Source organism: Homo sapiens, chromosome 1 (assembly GCF_000001405.40).
Source record: "Homo sapiens chromosome 1, GRCh38.p14 Primary Assembly".
NCBI classification, from domain to species: domain Eukaryota; kingdom Metazoa; phylum Chordata; class Mammalia; order Primates; family Hominidae; genus Homo; species Homo sapiens.
Genome location: NC_000001.11, coordinates 234483744 through 234501729, shown reverse-complemented (window position 1 = coordinate 234501729; position 17986 = coordinate 234483744). Strand labels below are relative to the sequence as shown.

Sequence of the window (17986 nt, the reverse complement as noted above, 5' to 3'; positions counted from 1 at the left end):
TTGTGCCTGATTCCCACTCAAATCCATCCATCCCTCCTGGCATTGGTGGGGGTCGACGCATGACAGAAACCTGGCTCCATTTGCTTGAAAGGTTCACAAACCATAGTGAATTTTTTTTTGTTTGGTTTTGTTTTGTTTGGCTCTGTCGCCAGCCTGGAATACAGTGGCGCAATCTCGGCTCACTGCAACCTCTGCCTCCTGGGTTCAAGCGATTCTGTTGCCTCAGCCTCCCAAGTAGCTGGGACTACAGGCGCGTGCCACCTCGCCCAGCTAATTTTTGTAGTTTTAGTAGAGACGGGGTTTCACCATGTTGGCCAGGATGGTTTCCATCTCTTGACCTCATGATCCGCCCACCTTGGTCTCCCAAAGTGCTGTGATTACAGGCGTGAGTCACCATGCCCGGCCCCCATAGTGAACTTCTTGTGATCCAAGGCCAAGTTTCCAGTATGTAATGAAAACTGAAACCTGGTTTTGAGTTTCCAAATTCACACAGAGCCAGTCATGACGGAAGATGTGTGAGGTAGCAAGGGTGAGCAGCACCACGGCACAACCAAGACACTCAGCACTTGGTTCTATTTCTAGCTCTGCCACCTCCTTGCTATGTGGCCCGAGGCTGGTCACCTGCTCTCACTTAGTTACCTTTCCCTAGTATTGGGGGAGAGCAGAGCTTTTTGCCTTATCATTCCAGGACCTGAGGATGTGTATGCTGAAACAGTGGCATTTCTCTGAATCTCTTTGAATTACAGTGCACATATCTTCAGGATATCAGAGACATCCCATCCATACCAGCACGTGCCTTCTTTTCCTAGTCATTTTTCTTCAACTATTCCCGTTTGAGCTGGGCTAAGAGAACAACAGTCTGGACTCATTCCTTAGGTGCATTGTTGGCCTTCTCACAGACTTAAATATATACATCTGTCCCACTTTTAGAGAAAATAGGAACAAAATCTATTACATGTATTTTAGGCCCTCTATCTGAATTCTGAAGTCTTTCTCTGACTTCTTTTTCAGCTTCAGCTTTTGATTTCAGGCACATTCACACTTGTTTAGCTTTCAACTTACAGAGAATGCTGGAAAAGAGATTCATGCATTATTTAGAGCATTCGTCTAAATGCCCTCCCAGATCCCTTCTAACTCCATGAGGTCCCATGAGTCTGTGAAATGCATGGGCAAAGGAAGAGGAACTGAGGCTTTGAAATCAGATATACCTAGTTCCAATTCCTAGTTCTCAAGTTTACTAGTTGTGTGACTTTGGGTGAGCTGCTTAACCTCATAGGAGCCTAGAGTCCTCATCTAAAAACCTGGGCCAGTGCCAACTACCAAGCCATGACTGTGAGGATTAAATGAGACATCACTTCCATAAAAACACGGAACAGAGTGTGAGGCATACAGCAGGTGCCAAGGTAGATATTAGATCCTGCTTTTCATTATTGGTGCAAGTTTCTGATGGGTCAAACATGCAGGCTGTTGTATATTTGAATATTGCTTCAGTCTTCACTTCCACGGTTTTATTTCAAAAAGAGAAAGAAGGAAGGAAATAAACAGAAACTGTCAGAGGCCCTTCGGAAATCATCACTCATCCATTGAAATGTGCTTTCCATTCAAAAACTACCTTATTAATTATTCATTGCTTTTGGAACTGAAAATGAGAACAGAGCTTAAGACCCAGAGTTGGACAAGAACAGTGTTCCAACTGCTTGATTTCTGTCATTTCCTGGTTTCTACGCAGTACCTCCCAAAATCTGAGATTTGCAGTTTTGGGAGTCGAGAGAACTTTAGGCTTGATGATCAGTCAGGTTTAGTCAGGTTTAGCCAATGCCCTGGAATGACTGTTCTCTTTACTTTCATTTCCACTCCCGGCACCGCATTTCTGGGGGATTATTTCACTGCATGGGTGGCCCGAGTCCCTTGGCCTTCAGCCTTATGGCTCATTCCACCGCTCTGGGCAAGCCATAACCACCCGAACATGCAAGTCTTTCTTTTGTGCCCCAGTGGCATGAGTAACATCATTAACTCTTCAGGGCCGAGGTTTGGGATTAGGTAAAAATCTTACATCCCCCCGTGTTTGCAGTCAGAACACCAGAGTAACAACAGGGTGTTTGCGGGGCTTGTTTTCACGCCAGAAATGAGGTTGCCCTAACACACAATCCTTAAGATGTTTTTTCCCTAACGATTGTCTTCACCAGGATCGTGGGTTACAAAATGGAAGCTCAGTGCTTCCTGCTTCGAGTTCCAGTAGAACAAACATGCAAGAGACTCCTCGGCTTGGAAACTCTTCAAACCAGGGAAGGGCTGCTGATGTGTCCCCAGGAGGGGAAGGGCAGGAGGAGCACAGTTGTGCAGGGGGGTGTTTCACATGCTTCTCTAAAGAAGAGCTTCCTAAAGTGTAAAAAGGCTGGGGAAAGACACATTTCCCAAGGCCTGGGGCCAGTGCGGGGACAAACGCGAGGCTGGCGCACGTGCATTGCGGGTTCCGCGCGCCATCTGGTGGCTTCGGGCTGACATTGGGCGCACCATCCGGGCTTTTACCCCATTGACAGACCTCATAGAAGGAACCCATTGCGGGCGATAAAGTTCTGCTGGAAGTGATCACCAGGGCCCCCAAAGGAAGACACCGAGGGCCAGATGTTCCGAATTCCACTCCTTATTCTACAACTGGATACTGAAAGCCTCAGGTTCTCTTTGACAAGGGGGCACTGATCCTTCCTTCAGGACCAGCCTTCCTATCACACAGCAACATAAGCACTCGGCTCTGGGCAGTGTGGCCCCTCTGTGCCTTGCTTTCCACATCATGACGCCACATGACGGGCCACAGGAGTCTTCCCTTCGCCCCTACCTGGAACGCGTGTATTCCCTTCCAGCCTTGTGAATCCCACAGTTCTCAAGGCTCAGTCCACAGGCATCTTTATATCCTTAGAATATTTGCCTCATATTTTGTTCATACTAGTGTTTCCAAAGTGTGTTCCAAGAATGATGGTGTTATTAATCAGAATTGTATCTCTTTTTGAAAAGGCATTCAAAGTTTGGGAAAGTCAGGGTTACGCAAAGGTTAAACAGACCTGATTGCAGGATATCTCAGGAGCATGACACATACTGAGAATGTAGTGGATTTCTAAGAAGGAACTACAGTTTGCTATAGTTTCTAAACTTGTTTGACATCAAAACCTTCCTCCTATCTCCACCTTTGAAATGTATCTTGCAAATATTGCATCTAATAAAACAATTTTAAGGAAAAATAGCATCCTGTTCACTTGACCCAAGATTATGTAGCTGTCTTTTTAAAACTGGAAGACATCTGCATTCGTTTGCTAGGGCTATTATATTGCCTCACGGTTGTGGATGCTGAAGATCCAAGGCCAATGTGTTGGCAGGGTTGGTTTCTTCTGAGGCCCCTCTCCTTGGCTTATAGATGGTCGTCTTCTCTCTGTGTTACCACATGGTCTTCCCTCTGTGCCTATCTGTGTCCTAGTTGCCTTCTCTTTTCTTCATTGTTTCTTCTTCTTCTCCTTCTTCTTTTTTTTTTTTTTTTTTTTGAGATGGGGGTCTCACTATGTTGCCCAGGCTGGTCTCAAACTCCTGAGCTCAAGTGATCCTTCTGCCTCAGCCTCCCAAAGTGCTGAGATTACAGGAATGAGCCACTGTGCCCAGTCCTAATTTTCTCTTCTTATAAGGACATCGGTCATATTGGGTTAGGACCCACCAACATGACCTCATTTTACCTTAATCACCCTTTTAATGTCCCTATGTCCAACTACAGTTACATTCAGAGGTACTAGGGGTTAGGACTTTAACAAAGGAATTTTGGGGAGCCACAATTCAGCCCGTAACAACATCTTATTGTTGCATCTGTAGGGTAAAATGTATGCTTCAATGGAAAATTATGCATTGTTTAGAGCAGGGTTGGCAAACTACAACCAGTGAGCCAGATCCAGCTGGCCACCTGTGTTTGTAAATAAAGTTTATTGGCACACAGCAGCATTCACCCTTCACATATTGTCTAAGATTACTTGCATGTTCACTGACAGTTGAGTATCTGTACAAAAACCATATGGCTTGCAAAACCAAAAACATTTACAATCTAGCCCTTTATAGGAAAAGGTCTAGAACCCACCCACCCACCCTTCAGGGTTATCTAATTTTGATCCTATAGGGGCTCTGCACCTTTCACGGCCTTTGAGTTATTTTACAACTCAATAAATTGTAGATCATGGATAACAATGCAAAACAATCCTTGACCACAGACAAGAAGCAGCCAGTTTTGCCTCAGTTTGCTTATTCCTTTCAGTATCCTTATCAATAAATGTGTGTCTTCTTTGGATTATCTTTTGAACTGGCAGTAGCGTCTTGCAGTTTCCTCATTATTAATGAATTGAATAAATCTTTAACTTTTTTTTTTAGTATCTGTACGAGTCATAATTTTACCTTTTTTTTGAAAAAGTGTCCCTTAAAATATCAATGTTAGGTTTCTTGAGTGTAATAATGGCACTGGGATTATAAAAGACAATGTTTTTGCTCTTAGGAGTACATATTAAAGCACTTAAGGTGTGTCACGCGCGTCCACGTGAAGAGAGTCCACGAACAGGCTTTGTGTGAGCAGCCAGGCTGTTCGTGTGACAAGGTGAAGTGGCATCATGCTTACAATTTGTTTTCAAATGGTTTGGCGTATATGAATATAAATGTGTGTGTGTCTGTAAATACTCACACATACATCACATATATAGGAGGAAAGATGGAGGAAGAGAAGGAAAATTGGTAAACTATAAACAACTAGTGAATCTAGGTGAAGTATGGTGCCCTTGAATGGTGTACTATTCATTGAACTTTTCCATATGTTTGACAATTTTCAAAGTAAAAAACTGGGCAAGGGGGGATAAGTTTATGTCATATTCCTCATGAAGCGTGTTGTCAGCTTCATGTCCTATTCTTCTGGATGTTTTTCCAGTACTTCAGAGATTAGCCAATTATAGACGTTTGTTAGTAGTCTGACTTTCTGCAGTGGGTACTGCAAGTAAGAAAAAGTAAATGATTGGGAGGCTGAGGCTGGCCAATTGCTTGAGTCCAGGAGTTTGAGACCAGCCTAGGCAACATGGAGAAACCTCAGGTCTATGAAAAAAAAGAAAAAAATCAGCTGGGTATGGTGGCATATGCTTGTAGTCCCAGCTACTAGGGAGGCTGAGGTGGGTGGATGGCTTGAGCCCAGGAGATCGAGGCTGCAGTGAGCTGTGATCATGCGACTGCACTCCAGCATGTCTCAAAAAAAAAAAAAAAAAAAAAAGTAAATGGAACATGAAACATTAATGTTTCTACTGTCACATGGCTCAATTTCTTCTAGAATTCTTAATAGTACCAAGCAAATAAGATGTTAAAGTAGATTTTTTTTTAAGCTAGTTATATCCTATTCCTAAAGAATGCTCTTTAAAAAATAAAATTTTATGGCCAGGTGTGGTGGTTCACACCTGTAATCCCAGCACTTTGGGAGGCCTAGGCTGGCGGATCGCCTGAGGCCAGGAGTTCAAGACCAACCTGGCCAATATGGTGAAACCCTGCCTCTACTTAAAAAATACAAAAATTAGCCAGGTGTGGTAGCGGGTGCCTGTAGTCCCAGCTACTCAGGAGGCTGAGGCAGAGGAATCGCTGGAACCCGGGAGCAGGAGGTTGCAGTGAGCTGAGATCATGCCACTGCACTCCAGCCTGGGTGACAGAGTGTGACTCCATCTCAAAAAAAAAAAAAAAAAACAAAAACAAAAAAAAAACAAGAAAAGAAAAGAGAGAGGAAAGAAAGAAAGAAAGAAAAAGAAAAAAGAAAGAAAGAGAAAGAAAGAAAGAGAAAAGGAAAGGAAAAGAAAGGAAAGGAAAGGAAAAGAAAGGAAAGGAAAGGAAAGGAAAGAAAGATCTTTTAGGACAAACTCTGGACGTGAGGACCTCTTACACGGTGCTCATGTTCAAGCTTAAGGCATTACTTTTTGTAGTGTGTTTGGGGTGGAGGTGGAGGTTGAAGTTTGTGTCCCTCAATGACTGTATAGTTTTGCACACCCTCCCCACCCCACCCCCAGCTTGACATCATGGTCTTAATACAGTTAGAGACCTCATTCATTGCAATTTGACTGCTGCTTGAGCCGGAACTGTAAGATTCAGAGCTCTTTGCATACTTAGAGGTATGAATAGTGCGGTAACAATGAGGAAAGAAAGTAAGCTAAATTCTCAAACATTGTGTCATTTAGCATGAAGGTTTAAGATTGAAACTTTCTGCCTGAGGGAAGCAGAAAAAAAATGAGTTTGTACAGAAGGTTTCCAGTTTCTGAATGTAAAAGGCACACTAAAAATAGCTAAAGGGACTGAGTCGCCTAGAGGCTTCTTGAGTTGCCCAGTGGGAGTTCCTGCTCGGAGAAGCTGTCCTTCAAAGCTGCTGCTGGAAACAGCCCTGAGACCGTTGGTGTGTGATGCAGAGCTCTCCTGGGTGGATTTCATTTGGTCACAAGGAAGCAGGAGATGAAGCAGATGGAGATGTTTCTTCATGGAAGGATCCCCTAGGGGAAGAAATGTTCTACCTCTGACAGAGGCTGACAGTCCAGAAGGTAGAGGCACATTGTGGGCTCAGAGACCAGATCTTGCTGAAATCAGGGTCAACCAATCGCAAATGGGCACTAACCTCAAAGAAAGAGTCCTTTCTTTCCATGGCCACTGATACGGTGTCATTTAAGACCCTGATTTTTTCTTGTCTGGGCTATTACCACAGCCTCCTCTCTAGGCCCTCTGTCTCCAGTTTCCCCTCCTTCTCCAATTCATCCTACATATGGACTCTGGTGGGATTTTTCTGTAGCCTAATTCAGTTCAGGTGCTTCTATGTTTAACTTAATTTAATTTTTTAACAAATCAGACAACCAACTAACCAACCAATTTACCAAGCAAGCAAGCAAACAAAAACCCTCCAGTGGTTCTTCATCTTTTATTGACTTGACCTAAGCATCTTACCCAGTCCTGTTAACTAGTTCTGTCTTTTTAATCACATCAGTCACCACTTATTTATTTACTCCACTGAAAGCTGCAGAGAGAGGGGTGGGGGCATTTTCCTGTCTCTTTGGGGTGTCAGAGACTGTCATAGTTAGGTTTCTAAACCCCCATAGTGTTTAGTATAGTGTAATTCCCAGAATCAGGATTCAAGAAAAAGCCTTTGAGGGTATATTTACAAAATAATTGCAGGCAGGGCCTTGTCTGTCTGTACACCCATGTCCATAGCAGCATTATTCATAATAGTCAAAAGGTGGAAGCAATTCGAGAGTTCACTGATGGATGAATGGATACACAAAACATGGCACACATACAATGAAATATCATTCAGCCTTAGGAAGAAAGGAAGTTCGGATGCATGCTACAAAATGGATGAACCTTGAGGACATTATATTAAGTGAAATAAGCCAGTCACGAAAGGGCAAATACTGTGTGATTCTACTAATATGAGGTACCTAGGGGAGTCATATTCATAGAGGAGAGAGAAAGTGGTCACCAGGGGTTGGGGAAGTGGGGAATCAGAAGTTAGTTTTTAATAGGCAGAGAGTTTCAATTTTGCAAGATGGTCGCACAACAATATGAATGTACTTAATGCCACTGACCTGTTCCCTTAAACATGGTTAAGATGGTAAATTTTAAGTTACGTGTATTCTACTAATTTTTTCTAAGAAGAAAAGAAGGAATAACCCTGGAATGTTGAATCAAGGAGTTGGTGAGTGATTTCTCCTACACATTTGGGATCCTGCTCTTTCAACCTAATGGTTATACTTTTGAACATGCAAATCAAAGCAGTCACCATTCCCTCTTCTCCTCAAACAACCCTACAGTCGCTTCCCACCTAGAATGAGTCTGATATTCATGGCTGATTGTCCTACCTGGCCTGGGGTGCCCACCTGTCCTGCCTCCTCTGTCAACTCCATTCGTTTGGCCTTCCCCACTCTCCTTCTTCCCTGCTCCCAACTGCCTTGGGGTTTCCACATAGTTTCCCCTGGGGGTGGAGGAGGCTTTTTACTCAATTCTAGTCTAGTTGACTCCCTCTTTCTGTAGATATCAGCTGACACACTATTACAGGAAACGGGTCCCGATCCAAGAGAGGGTTCTTGGGTTTCGCACAAGAAAGAATTCAAGGCACGTCCATAAAGTGAAAGCACGTTTATTAGAAAAGTGAAGGAATAAAGAATTGCTACTCCGTAGACAGAGCAGACCTGAGGGTTCCTGGCTGCCCATTTTTATGGTTATTTCTTGATGATATGCTAAACAAGGGGTGGATTATTCATGGATCCCCTTTTTAGACGATATAGGGTAACTTCCTGACATTGCCATGGCATTTGTAAACTGTCATGGCACTGGTGGGAGTGTATTAGTGAGGACGACCAGAGGTCACTCTCGTCGCCCTCTTGGTTTTGGCCAGCTTATTTACTGTAACCTGTTTTATCAGCAAGGTCTTTATCACCTGTATCTTGTGCTGACGTCCTGTCTCACCCTGTGACTTAGAATGCCTTAACCATCTGGGAACGCAGCCCAGTAGGTCTCAGCCTCATTTTACCGAGCCCCTACTCGACATAAAGTTGCTCTGTTTCAAACACCTCTGACAACACCATTGATCAGAAAAGCCAGTCCTACTGCACAGACTGGGGTGAAGCATCTCATCATAGGCTCTCAGCATGTTCTTTGCTTCTTTTGCATAGTGGTTGTTATAAAATCATTAATTTGGCCAGGCACAGTGGCTCATGCCTGTAATCCCAGGACTTTGGGAGGCTGAGGTGGGCAGATCACCTGAAGTCAGGAGTTCGAGACCAGCCTGGCCAATATGGCGAAACCCTGTCTCTACTAAAAATGCAAAAATTAACCAGCTATAGTGACAGGTGCATGTAATCCCAGTTATTTGGGAGGCTGAGGCAGGAGAATTGCTTGAACTCCAGAGGTGGAGGTTGCAGTGAGCCAAGATTGCTCCACTGCCCTCCAGCCTGGGTGACAGAGTCTCCCTGTGTCTCAAATAAATAAATAAAAATAAAATTATTAATTTTCCATAAAACTATTTGGACTATTCTACAGACTGAATGTTGTGTCCCCTCACATTCACATGTCAAAATCTTAACCCTCAAGGTGATGGTATTAGAAAGTGGGGCCTTTGGGAGGTAATCAGGTCATGAGGGCAGAGCCCTCATAAATGGGATTAGTGCCCTTATAAAAAAAAAACCCAGAAAGCTGCCTTGCCCCTTCTGTTGTGTGAGAATACACTGAAAAGTCAGCCCTCTACAACCTAAGAGAGGGGCCTCACCAGACACCAAATGTGTCACTGCGCTGATCTAGGATTTCCCATCCTCCAGAACGGTGGAAAATAAATTTCTGTTGTTTATAAGTGACCCAGTCTATGACATTGTCTTCTAGCAGCCAAACAGACAAAAATAAACTAGACTGTAAGCTCCCTGGAGAGGCCAGGGATAGTAACTGCCCCAGTACAGTGCCTGGAGCATCACAGGCATGCCAATATCTGCTGGATCTCACGTTGTTCTTACCGATCTTGACACTTTTTTACATCTTCAGGGGCATGAAAACTGCTAAGAACCTAGGCAACGTAAATTCATTTGAGTGTAGCCATTGGATGGCCCCTGGCACAAAAAAAGGGGGCAAAGTTATTAGCAGCAACAAGCTCTTCAAAAACCACCACTGGCCGGGCGTGGTGGCTCATGCCTGTAATCTCAGCACTTTGGGAAGCCAAGGCGGGTAGATCACCTGAGGTCAGGAGTTCGAGACCAGCCTGACCAACATGGAGAAACCCTGTCTCTATTAAAAATACAAAATTAGCCGGGCATGGTGGTGCATGCCTGTAATCCCAGCTACTCAGGAGACTGAGGCAGGAGAATCGCTTGAACCCGGGAGGCAGAGGTTGCGGTGAGCCGAGATTGTACCATTGCACTCCAGCTTGGGCAATAAGAGCAAAACTCCATCACAAAACAAACAAACAAACAAACAAACCCACCACTATAGTTCCCAACTGGTGGGCATCAGTATTTATAGAGAACTGTGGTCGAGTGCTAAACTGCACAGCCCTGCTCATTCATATAGACATTAATATTTTTCGTAGTGTCATCTCTAGCTACGAAAAGAAATTGCCCAAAGAATACTAGATTTGGTGCTAGTGTACTGATACCTAGATTTTCAAACTGAATGCAAATAAGATCAAGGACTATTTCTTTTACTTCCTTTACAGCCAAACCCAGCATTTTGCTCCTCCTAGCAAAAGGAATTGGGTGGGGATGATGGGGCAGTACATTTTGCAATAACTTACTATTATCATTCTCTCACTGTTTCTTTGTGCTTTAACACTTTTGCTTACACAGCCCCCCTCCCTCACTCCACCTACCCCCAAAGTCTTCTTGGTCTAGTTTCAGGTCTCCTGCTGATAAGATGCTCAGGCTTTTTGTGTTCTTATCTGCTGCCAGATAAGGGGTGGGGTGCTCTGTGTGTATCTCTCTCTCTCTCTCTCTCTCTCTGTGTGTGTGTGTGTGTGTGTGTGTGTGTGTGTAAAGGAGTGGGGAGGAGGTCTTCAATTTTGAGGATGGAGGAGGCAAACAGGAAGAGGTTTCTTCCAAGGTTTGGTCTCTGGGTAAAGTATCTAAAAAACAATTCATCCTTTCACACTGAAAAAACCTACCTCCTGCTGGTATATCTCCTTTACGGCCTTATGCTACGCACCTGGCTGTCTCCTTCCCATGCCTGGCTCACATGACAAGCTCCCTTCATTTTCCTTAGCCTGGGTAGGTGCTGGCACAGGGAAAGGGGGAGGAAGATAAACCTGCCCTGTCACAGGGCTTTTGTGAAATGCACAGGGAGTATATAGCAGACAGAGGCGGAAATCCATCTTGACTAATTGACTGCTAGATCGAGAAAAGTTAAATAGTTAAATAGCACCTATTTCCTACAGACTCAGAAACATTGAAGTATTTATTAGCTGATGGGAGCAACACTGAACTTAAAAAATAAAACCACTCATCATTAGTAAGATATGAGATTACCCGCTTGAACCCGGGAGCCAGAGGTTGCGGTGAGCCGAGATCGCGTCACTGCACTCCAGCCTGGTCAACAGAGCGAGACTCCATCTCAAAACCAGCTTAAAAACACACCAATCTAGCCAGGCGAGGTGGCTTATGCCTGTAATCCCAGCACTTTGGGAGGCTGAGGCAGGTGGGTCACCTGAGGTTGGGAGTTCGAGACCAGGCTGACCAACATGGAGAAACCCCATCTCTACTAAAAATACAAAAAAAAAAAAAAAAAATTAGCTGGGTGTGGTGGCGCATGCCTATAATCCCAGCTACTTAGGAGGCTGAGGTAGGAGAATCGCTTGAATCCGGGAGGCAGAGGTTGCGGTGAGCCAAGATTGTGTCATTGCACTCCAGCCTGGGCAACAAGAGCAAAACTCCGTCTCAAAATAATAATAATAATAGTAACAATAATATATAAAAATGAAAAAATAAAAACACATCAATCTTTAAACTGAACATCTCAACACTTTCAGCAAAGATGTCTTTTCCTTTTTACTTTATGACATTCGATAAACAATGCCTTCAGAAGAACGTAAGAGTTTGGGAACTCTTGTGTAGTAGAATTCTTCAGAGAAACAGAACCAATAAGATGTATGCGTATATAGAAAGAGATTTATTACAAGGAATTGGCTCATGCGATTATAGAGGCTGGCAAGTCCCAATGTGCACTATTGGCTGGCAGCCTGGAGACCCAGGAGAGCTGATGGTGCAGATGAAGTTTGAAGGCTGTCCGTTGGTGGAATTCCCCTTTGCTTGGGAGGCTGATCTTTCTGTTCTATTCACATTTTCAACTGATTGCATGAGGCCCACCCACACTATGGGGGGCAATCTGTCTTACTTAAGAGTTCACCAGTATAGTGTTACTGTCATCCTAAAACATCCTCATTTACCAAGAAAGAACCCAGCAGACAACATGTTTAAGTGGGAAGAAAACATAGATGCCACACTGCAGGAGAACTAGGACAAAGCCTGCAAACTGCCTTGCAGAGGGGACTGATGCCAATGGCATCTGTTTTGTGAGGTGTAAGCCATTTTTGCCCTAAGTAGAAAAAAAAAAAACCCATACACTACCTCAAGTGGGAAACCTTGAAAACTGTTTCAGTAGCTCACCTTAAGAGCCTGTCACACCCTCCTGAGGAATCAGTAACGTCTACTTAATAGGCAGTCAGTGCCCTCTGGCTCTGAGTCCTGGTACAAAAATTTAAAACTCTCTGCCAGACCCTCTCTAAGGATACCTACTTACAAAGTAGGGAAAGGGAATTCCCAGTATTCCAGGAAAAGCTATTAGTACCTCCGTAGCTCCTGCTATTGGTGATGATTTGATTGGCCTGATATGTCCAAGTCTCTGGCTAAATGGAGCAGGTAAAACGTGCTTGGAAGCGCTTTCTCTAGACTTCAATCGCTTATCAGTGGGCTAGCAAAATAAAGACAGCCGGTAATGGATTTCACCTCCTTCTTTATTGCAAATGCAGCTATTAAAGGCCCCTCTGGCGTGCTCACACTGGCGAGAACTCCCTGGGCTTTGACTTCTCCCCGCAGTGATGTGCGGCCTTCTATGGCATCACAATTCATCATTTAACAGGAATCCTTGTGTGACTGAATCTATTGCCATCTCTTTCCTCTGTCAGAAGCAGAAGAGTGAGCGATTCTGACAGTGGCAGAGAGCCTGAGAATTCTGATTTTGCCTCAGAAGCAGGCTGGATGGGCAGGCTTAATCCTGCATTCTCTGCCTGCCAAACCCTTATGGATTTGACTGAAGACTAAAGAAGCCAGACCCAGGACCAGAAGGAGCCTCCATGGATTACCTTACAGATACTGACACGGTGCAGCCCACTTAAGCATAGGCTTTTTTTTGGTTTGTTTGCAGAAAAGCAAAAAAAAAAAAAGGAAATGAAAGTAGCTAGTAGCAGAAATAAGAACTTTTTTTTTCTTTTTAAAATGCTTTTAGATTGTGTTTAAAAGACAAACTGATGGGAAATTTGGTGACTCCAATTGTTCATAGCAGTTTTACTGGAGTCTCAGGCGACACACACAGAAGCAGTCAGTATGATATGAACATGGTCTTGGAGACACCATGAGATTGGGCGGGCCACCCTTTCCTCCCTTTGGTTAGTCCAGTGAACCTCTAAGTAGTCCGTGCTTCTCTTTATGTCCATCAGCCAAAGAGCAAGGCCGACCAAGCCAAGGTGAGACAGTATCTATATATAATGGAATGATTTGCTGAATGTTGAAAGGATGGCTTATCCCAATACTTAACTATTTTCCCTCCTTTCCTTGGCAATTTATTATGCATATCTGCCATGTGAGTGGGGAACGTATGAGTAAGACCAGCAGTTCTCAATCCACTTGTGGAACCTTAAAAAAATGTATAGATGATTGTGCCCTGTACTCAGAGTTTCTAGATGAATTGGTCTGGGGTGAGGCCCAGGCATTCAGTATGAACATGTGTCTCCCAGTGATTAAAGATTTCTGGTGATTCTACTTGTTGGTTTCTGTTTCTTTATAGGTCTAAACGATCAAGTCTGGGCAACAGTGAATGTCAGTTTCAAGGCAGAAATGATGGTGGCAATCCGTTAGGAAGAGGCCCCTAACCCTGGAAAGCGGGAGGTGGTCAAAACTAATGGAGCTAGCAGGACTAAATGATAAGCAACTGGGTGGGAGTCCTGTACCAGAGAGAAATATAGAAAACTCAACAAGGGAAGCTTGAACAAACAGGGACTTATTTTTCTCATATTATAGACTATCAAGAAATAGATATTTGCTAGCATTGGTTGAATGGCTTCAAGGAACCCAGGTTCCCTCTGCGTTTTCTCCCCTGCGACTTTTCTTGTGGTGTTTGTCATCTCGTGCTTGTTCTCTCATGGGTTCAAGTTGGCAGCTATAGGTCCAGAGAGCACTCTGTGATCAGGCAGGAAGGAACAGAGGAGAACTGTGGCAACAATGGTTTCTTTCCTTTTATCAGAAGCAAAAGCTTTCCCAGACACATCCCTAGCAGACTGCTGCTTATGTCTCATTGTCCAAGACTAGGACACAGAGAGCACCCATTGCCCGACTTGTAATGATGGTTGGAGAAGCAGGGAACAGGCTTGTCCTGTTTGCTGCCTAAACATAAGCCATTGGCCAAGGGCCAGTATGTTGCCATCCTGAGAAAAATGAGGGTTTGACAGCGAGGGAGAAGGGAGGATGGTTGTGGGGTTAATAATGAATGGTGTCTGCCACAGATCCTCACTGGGAATTTGAGTTTTCTAGATATCGCACTTAACATAAACGTGTTAATGATTCTGCAGCTGCATTTTTCCACGGAGGTTCTCTGAGGGCTTTCGGGGGAACATCAGAAGGCAAAAATTTCAGACAGAGCCTATCAAGAATCTCCTTCCCTTTCTTAGAGCCTTAGACGTAAACAGCTGAAAGCTATAGCTGAAGTCTTGCTATGTAATTGCTATTTCCTTTCTTTTTATACTTGTTTTCCACTTTGCAACTATGAACATTTAGTTGAAAGGATGGAAAAAGCACACTGCGCTGACAACAGCACCATCTAATGTCCAGAGAAATGTCAGCTTCTGAACAGATGCTAGTTTTTGGTTATGCAACTGCCTGTGCATTCTGGACCATGAACGCATGCAAGATTTGTGCATTTAAGAAGCATCTTTTCAGTGGGGTTGGAGCTCTGTGTACCTCTCTCAGGTCAACATTGTTATCATTCATTACGTAGTCCTATAGCCCTCACAGTGCCATGGCGCCCTTGCCCAGTGCTTCCCTCATGGTATTACAAAAGACTGTTAAGCACCTGCAGTGTGTGCCTTGAAAATCCCAAACAGTGAGTCCATGCAAATGCTCTTTTTCTTTTTTGTAGAGACAGGGTCTCACTCTGTTACCCAGGCTGGAATGCAGTGGTGTAATCACAGCTCACTGCAGCCTCAATCTCCTGGGCTCAAGTGATCCTTTTGCCTCAGGCTCCCAAGTAGCTGGGACTACGGGCACATACCACCACACCCAGCTTTCTTTTTTTGGGGTAGAGACAGGGTCTCCCTATGTTGCCCAGGCTGGCCTCAAATTCCTGGCCTCAAGGGATCTTCCTGCTTCTGCCTCACAGTGCTGGGATTACAGGCAAGAGCCACCATGGCTGGCCCCATGCAAACACTCGTGAAGGAAGGAGACATTTGAAAGAACATTTATCTGGATCAGCTTCCCTGACTTATGCTTTCTATTTCCCTTTTACTCTTGCTCCTTTCTCCATTACCCTTACTAAGAAGGAAGCAGTGTCCATTTCAAGTTGGGAAAGTGAGAAGAGTCAGAATTAAAGTCAGAGATGCAGCAGAGCAATCACATCTATAGGTGCACCATTTCAGATCAGAAGGAAATAAAAAGCCATTTTTAGACACCTTATGGTGAGTTTTAAAATATAAGGTGTAGTCAATAACACCTCTACATTCTAAGTTTGTTGGAACCAGTGTAGTCAGAGCTGTGGGATGCAGAGGTGGAGGAGGGATCTCAGGGCAGAAAATGACTTCTCGGAGGCCCCTGCTGGACGTTCCCATCCAGGATGACAAAAGCACAGGCTTCTTTTTTATTTGATTTGATTTGATTTGATTTTTATTTTTGAGACGGAGTTTTGCTCTTGTTGCCCAGGCTGAAGTGCAATGGCGCGATCTTGGCTCCCTGCAACCTCCGCCTCCTGGGTTCAAGCGAGTCTCCTGTCTCAGCCTCCCGAGTAGCTGGGATTACAGGTGCATGCCACCATGAACGGCTAATTTTTGTATTTTTAGTAGAGACGGGGTTTCATTATATTGGTCAGGCTGATCTCGAACTCCTGACCTCAGGTGATCCGCATGCCTCGGCCTCACAAAGTGCTGGGATTACAGGCATGAGCCACCGTGCCCAGAGCACAGGCCTCTTTTTAAAAACTGTACATATTTGTTGCCCGAGGAAACAGAGGATGCGGCTGACTTTGGGTGTACGGCAGCAGTCCTCAACCTTTTTGGCACCAGGGACCAGGTTTCGTGGAAGACAATTTTTCCATGGAGCCGGGAAGGTGGGGGTGGCTGCTGATTTGATAGGAGGCGGAGCTCAGGTGGTAAGACAATCTAAGGCCGCTGCTGATTTGATAGGAGGCGGAGCTCAGGTGATAATGCCCACTCGCCTGCAGCTCACCTTCTCCTGTGCAGCCTGGTTCCTAACAGGTCACGGAGGGGTAGCGGTTCATGGCCCAGGGGTTAGGGACCCCTGGTGTAAGGGATACGTGAGCTAGACTGAAGTAACTAAACTCTACTACTTTAAAGGGAGGAAAACTCAGACACTCATCCATAGTACACCTGCTTTTGATGTTAAAATAACAGTCACGACCCTAATTCATCTATGGATGAAGCAGGAAAATTGCAAGGAATGAGGAAAGAAAACTATTCTAAATCCTATTCACATATGGCTTCCAATGCAACTATTCATCTCCATGAGGATGCGGAGGGGTAGCTGGCTGTTCACACGCTGGATCGCCTCTGTGTATCAAAGCTGCGTATTGTTTCATGTTGAACCAGGCCACAACGATTTCAGCTTGCAAATGTTCATGTTTCAAGGGTAATTATGTCACTAGAAATTTTCCAGCTGATTAACTTAGAATTCTATCACTATAAAATGCTGAATTTTTATTCATCCAGGTTAAGTACTTATTGAGTAACTAACATGCTTCTGGTAATAATGTTGATATTTAGTATACAAATGAATTAAAACCAAATCCCAATTTTTTTGCGGGGGGGGGGTATTTTTTTTTTTTTTTTTTTTTTGAGATGGAGTCTCACTCTGTCGCCCAGGCTGGAGTGCAGTGGGGTAATCTCAGCTCACTGCAACCTCCGCCTCCAGGTCCAAGGGATTCTCCTGCCTCAGCCTCCAGAGTAGCTGGGACTACAGGCGCATGCCACCATGCCTGGCTAAGTTTTTGTACTTTTAGTAGAGATGGGGTTTCACCATGTTGGGCAGGCTGGTCTCGAACTCTTGACCTCAAATGATCCACCCACCTCAGCTTCCCAAAGTGCTGGGATTACAAGCATGAGCCACCGCGCCCAGCCAAAATCCCAGTTCTTAAGGGGCACATAAGTAGTTGCAGAAACTACACCTCCATCCATTCATACAACCATAATTTACTGAGTACCTACTATGTGCTAGACATCTATGATCTAGAATTTCTACAGGCAGTACACTGGACGTGGCAATTGTATATTTTTCTTTCTGGATGTTTTGGAGGTATTGCAGAAAATACCACAGCCTTTGAGTCAGACAGCTCTGCTGCTTTTTTCATCCTGTAATATCAGGGCAAGTAACTCAACCTCTCCTATTTTCAGTTTCCTCATCTGTAAAATAAGAAAAGTAAAAACACTTCGTTTATGAGTTGTTTTGAGGGTGAAGTGCAATAATATATATACAGATAGATATTACCATGTCTGGTCTTTAATAAGTGTGGTAACGATTAGCCATTATTATTACTACAATTAAAAGTTTGAGGAAGGCTGGGCGCAGTGGCTTACACCTATAACACTTTGGGAGGCTGAGGTGGGTGGATCACTTGAAGTCAGGAGTTCAAGACCAGCCTGGCCAACATGGTGAAACCCCATCTCTACTAAAAATACAAAAATTAGCTGGGTGTGGTTGTGCACACCTGTAATCCCAGCTACTCAGGAGGCTGAGGCAGGAGAATTGCTTGAATCTGGGAGGCAGAGGTTGCAGTGAGCCGAGATCGTGCCACTGTCCTGTAGCTTGGGCAACAGAGTGAGACTTCGTCTCAAAAAAAAAAAAAAAAAGTTTGGAGAATACAGAAATAGAAGTAAGTTATGACCAGGGGCATTACGAATGGCTGCTTAGAGAGATGCCTTAAAATTTGGGTCTTCATAGAGGAGGAGATGGCTATTCACTCAGTGTTACTGGGCTGGGCACAGTGGCTCACG

At 44.3% G+C, this 17986-nt stretch overlaps 7 annotated features.

Moving 5' to 3' along the window:
• Nucleotides 1679-1768: an enhancer, noted in NCBI's record as "active region_2756". NCBI's record gives its function as "activates an Ori minimal core promoter by ATAC-STARR-seq in GM12878 lymphoblastoid cells {active_cell/tissue: GM12878}" and the evidence as "EXISTENCE:reporter gene assay evidence [ECO:0000049][PMID:35858748]".
• Nucleotides 2179-2228: an enhancer, noted in NCBI's record as "active region_2755". NCBI's record gives its function as "activates an Ori minimal core promoter by ATAC-STARR-seq in GM12878 lymphoblastoid cells {active_cell/tissue: GM12878}" and the evidence as "EXISTENCE:reporter gene assay evidence [ECO:0000049][PMID:35858748]".
• Nucleotides 2269-2318: an enhancer, noted in NCBI's record as "active region_2754". NCBI's record gives its function as "activates an Ori minimal core promoter by ATAC-STARR-seq in GM12878 lymphoblastoid cells {active_cell/tissue: GM12878}" and the evidence as "EXISTENCE:reporter gene assay evidence [ECO:0000049][PMID:35858748]".
• Nucleotides 2313-2607: an enhancer, noted in NCBI's record as "tiled region #12347; K562 Activating DNase matched - State 5:Enh". NCBI's record gives its function as "activates a minimal TATA promoter and a strong SV40 promoter by Sharpr-MPRA in K562 cells {active_cell/tissue: K562}" and the evidence as "EXISTENCE:reporter gene assay evidence [ECO:0000049][PMID:27701403]".
• Nucleotides 6386-6595: an enhancer, noted in NCBI's record as "active region_2753". NCBI's record gives its function as "activates an Ori minimal core promoter by ATAC-STARR-seq in GM12878 lymphoblastoid cells {active_cell/tissue: GM12878}" and the evidence as "EXISTENCE:reporter gene assay evidence [ECO:0000049][PMID:35858748]".
• Nucleotides 13108-13167: an enhancer, noted in NCBI's record as "active region_2752". NCBI's record gives its function as "activates an Ori minimal core promoter by ATAC-STARR-seq in GM12878 lymphoblastoid cells {active_cell/tissue: GM12878}" and the evidence as "EXISTENCE:reporter gene assay evidence [ECO:0000049][PMID:35858748]".
• Nucleotides 14591-14680: a silencer, noted in NCBI's record as "silent region_1972". NCBI's record gives its function as "represses an Ori minimal core promoter by ATAC-STARR-seq in GM12878 lymphoblastoid cells {active_cell/tissue: GM12878}" and the evidence as "EXISTENCE:reporter gene assay evidence [ECO:0000049][PMID:35858748]".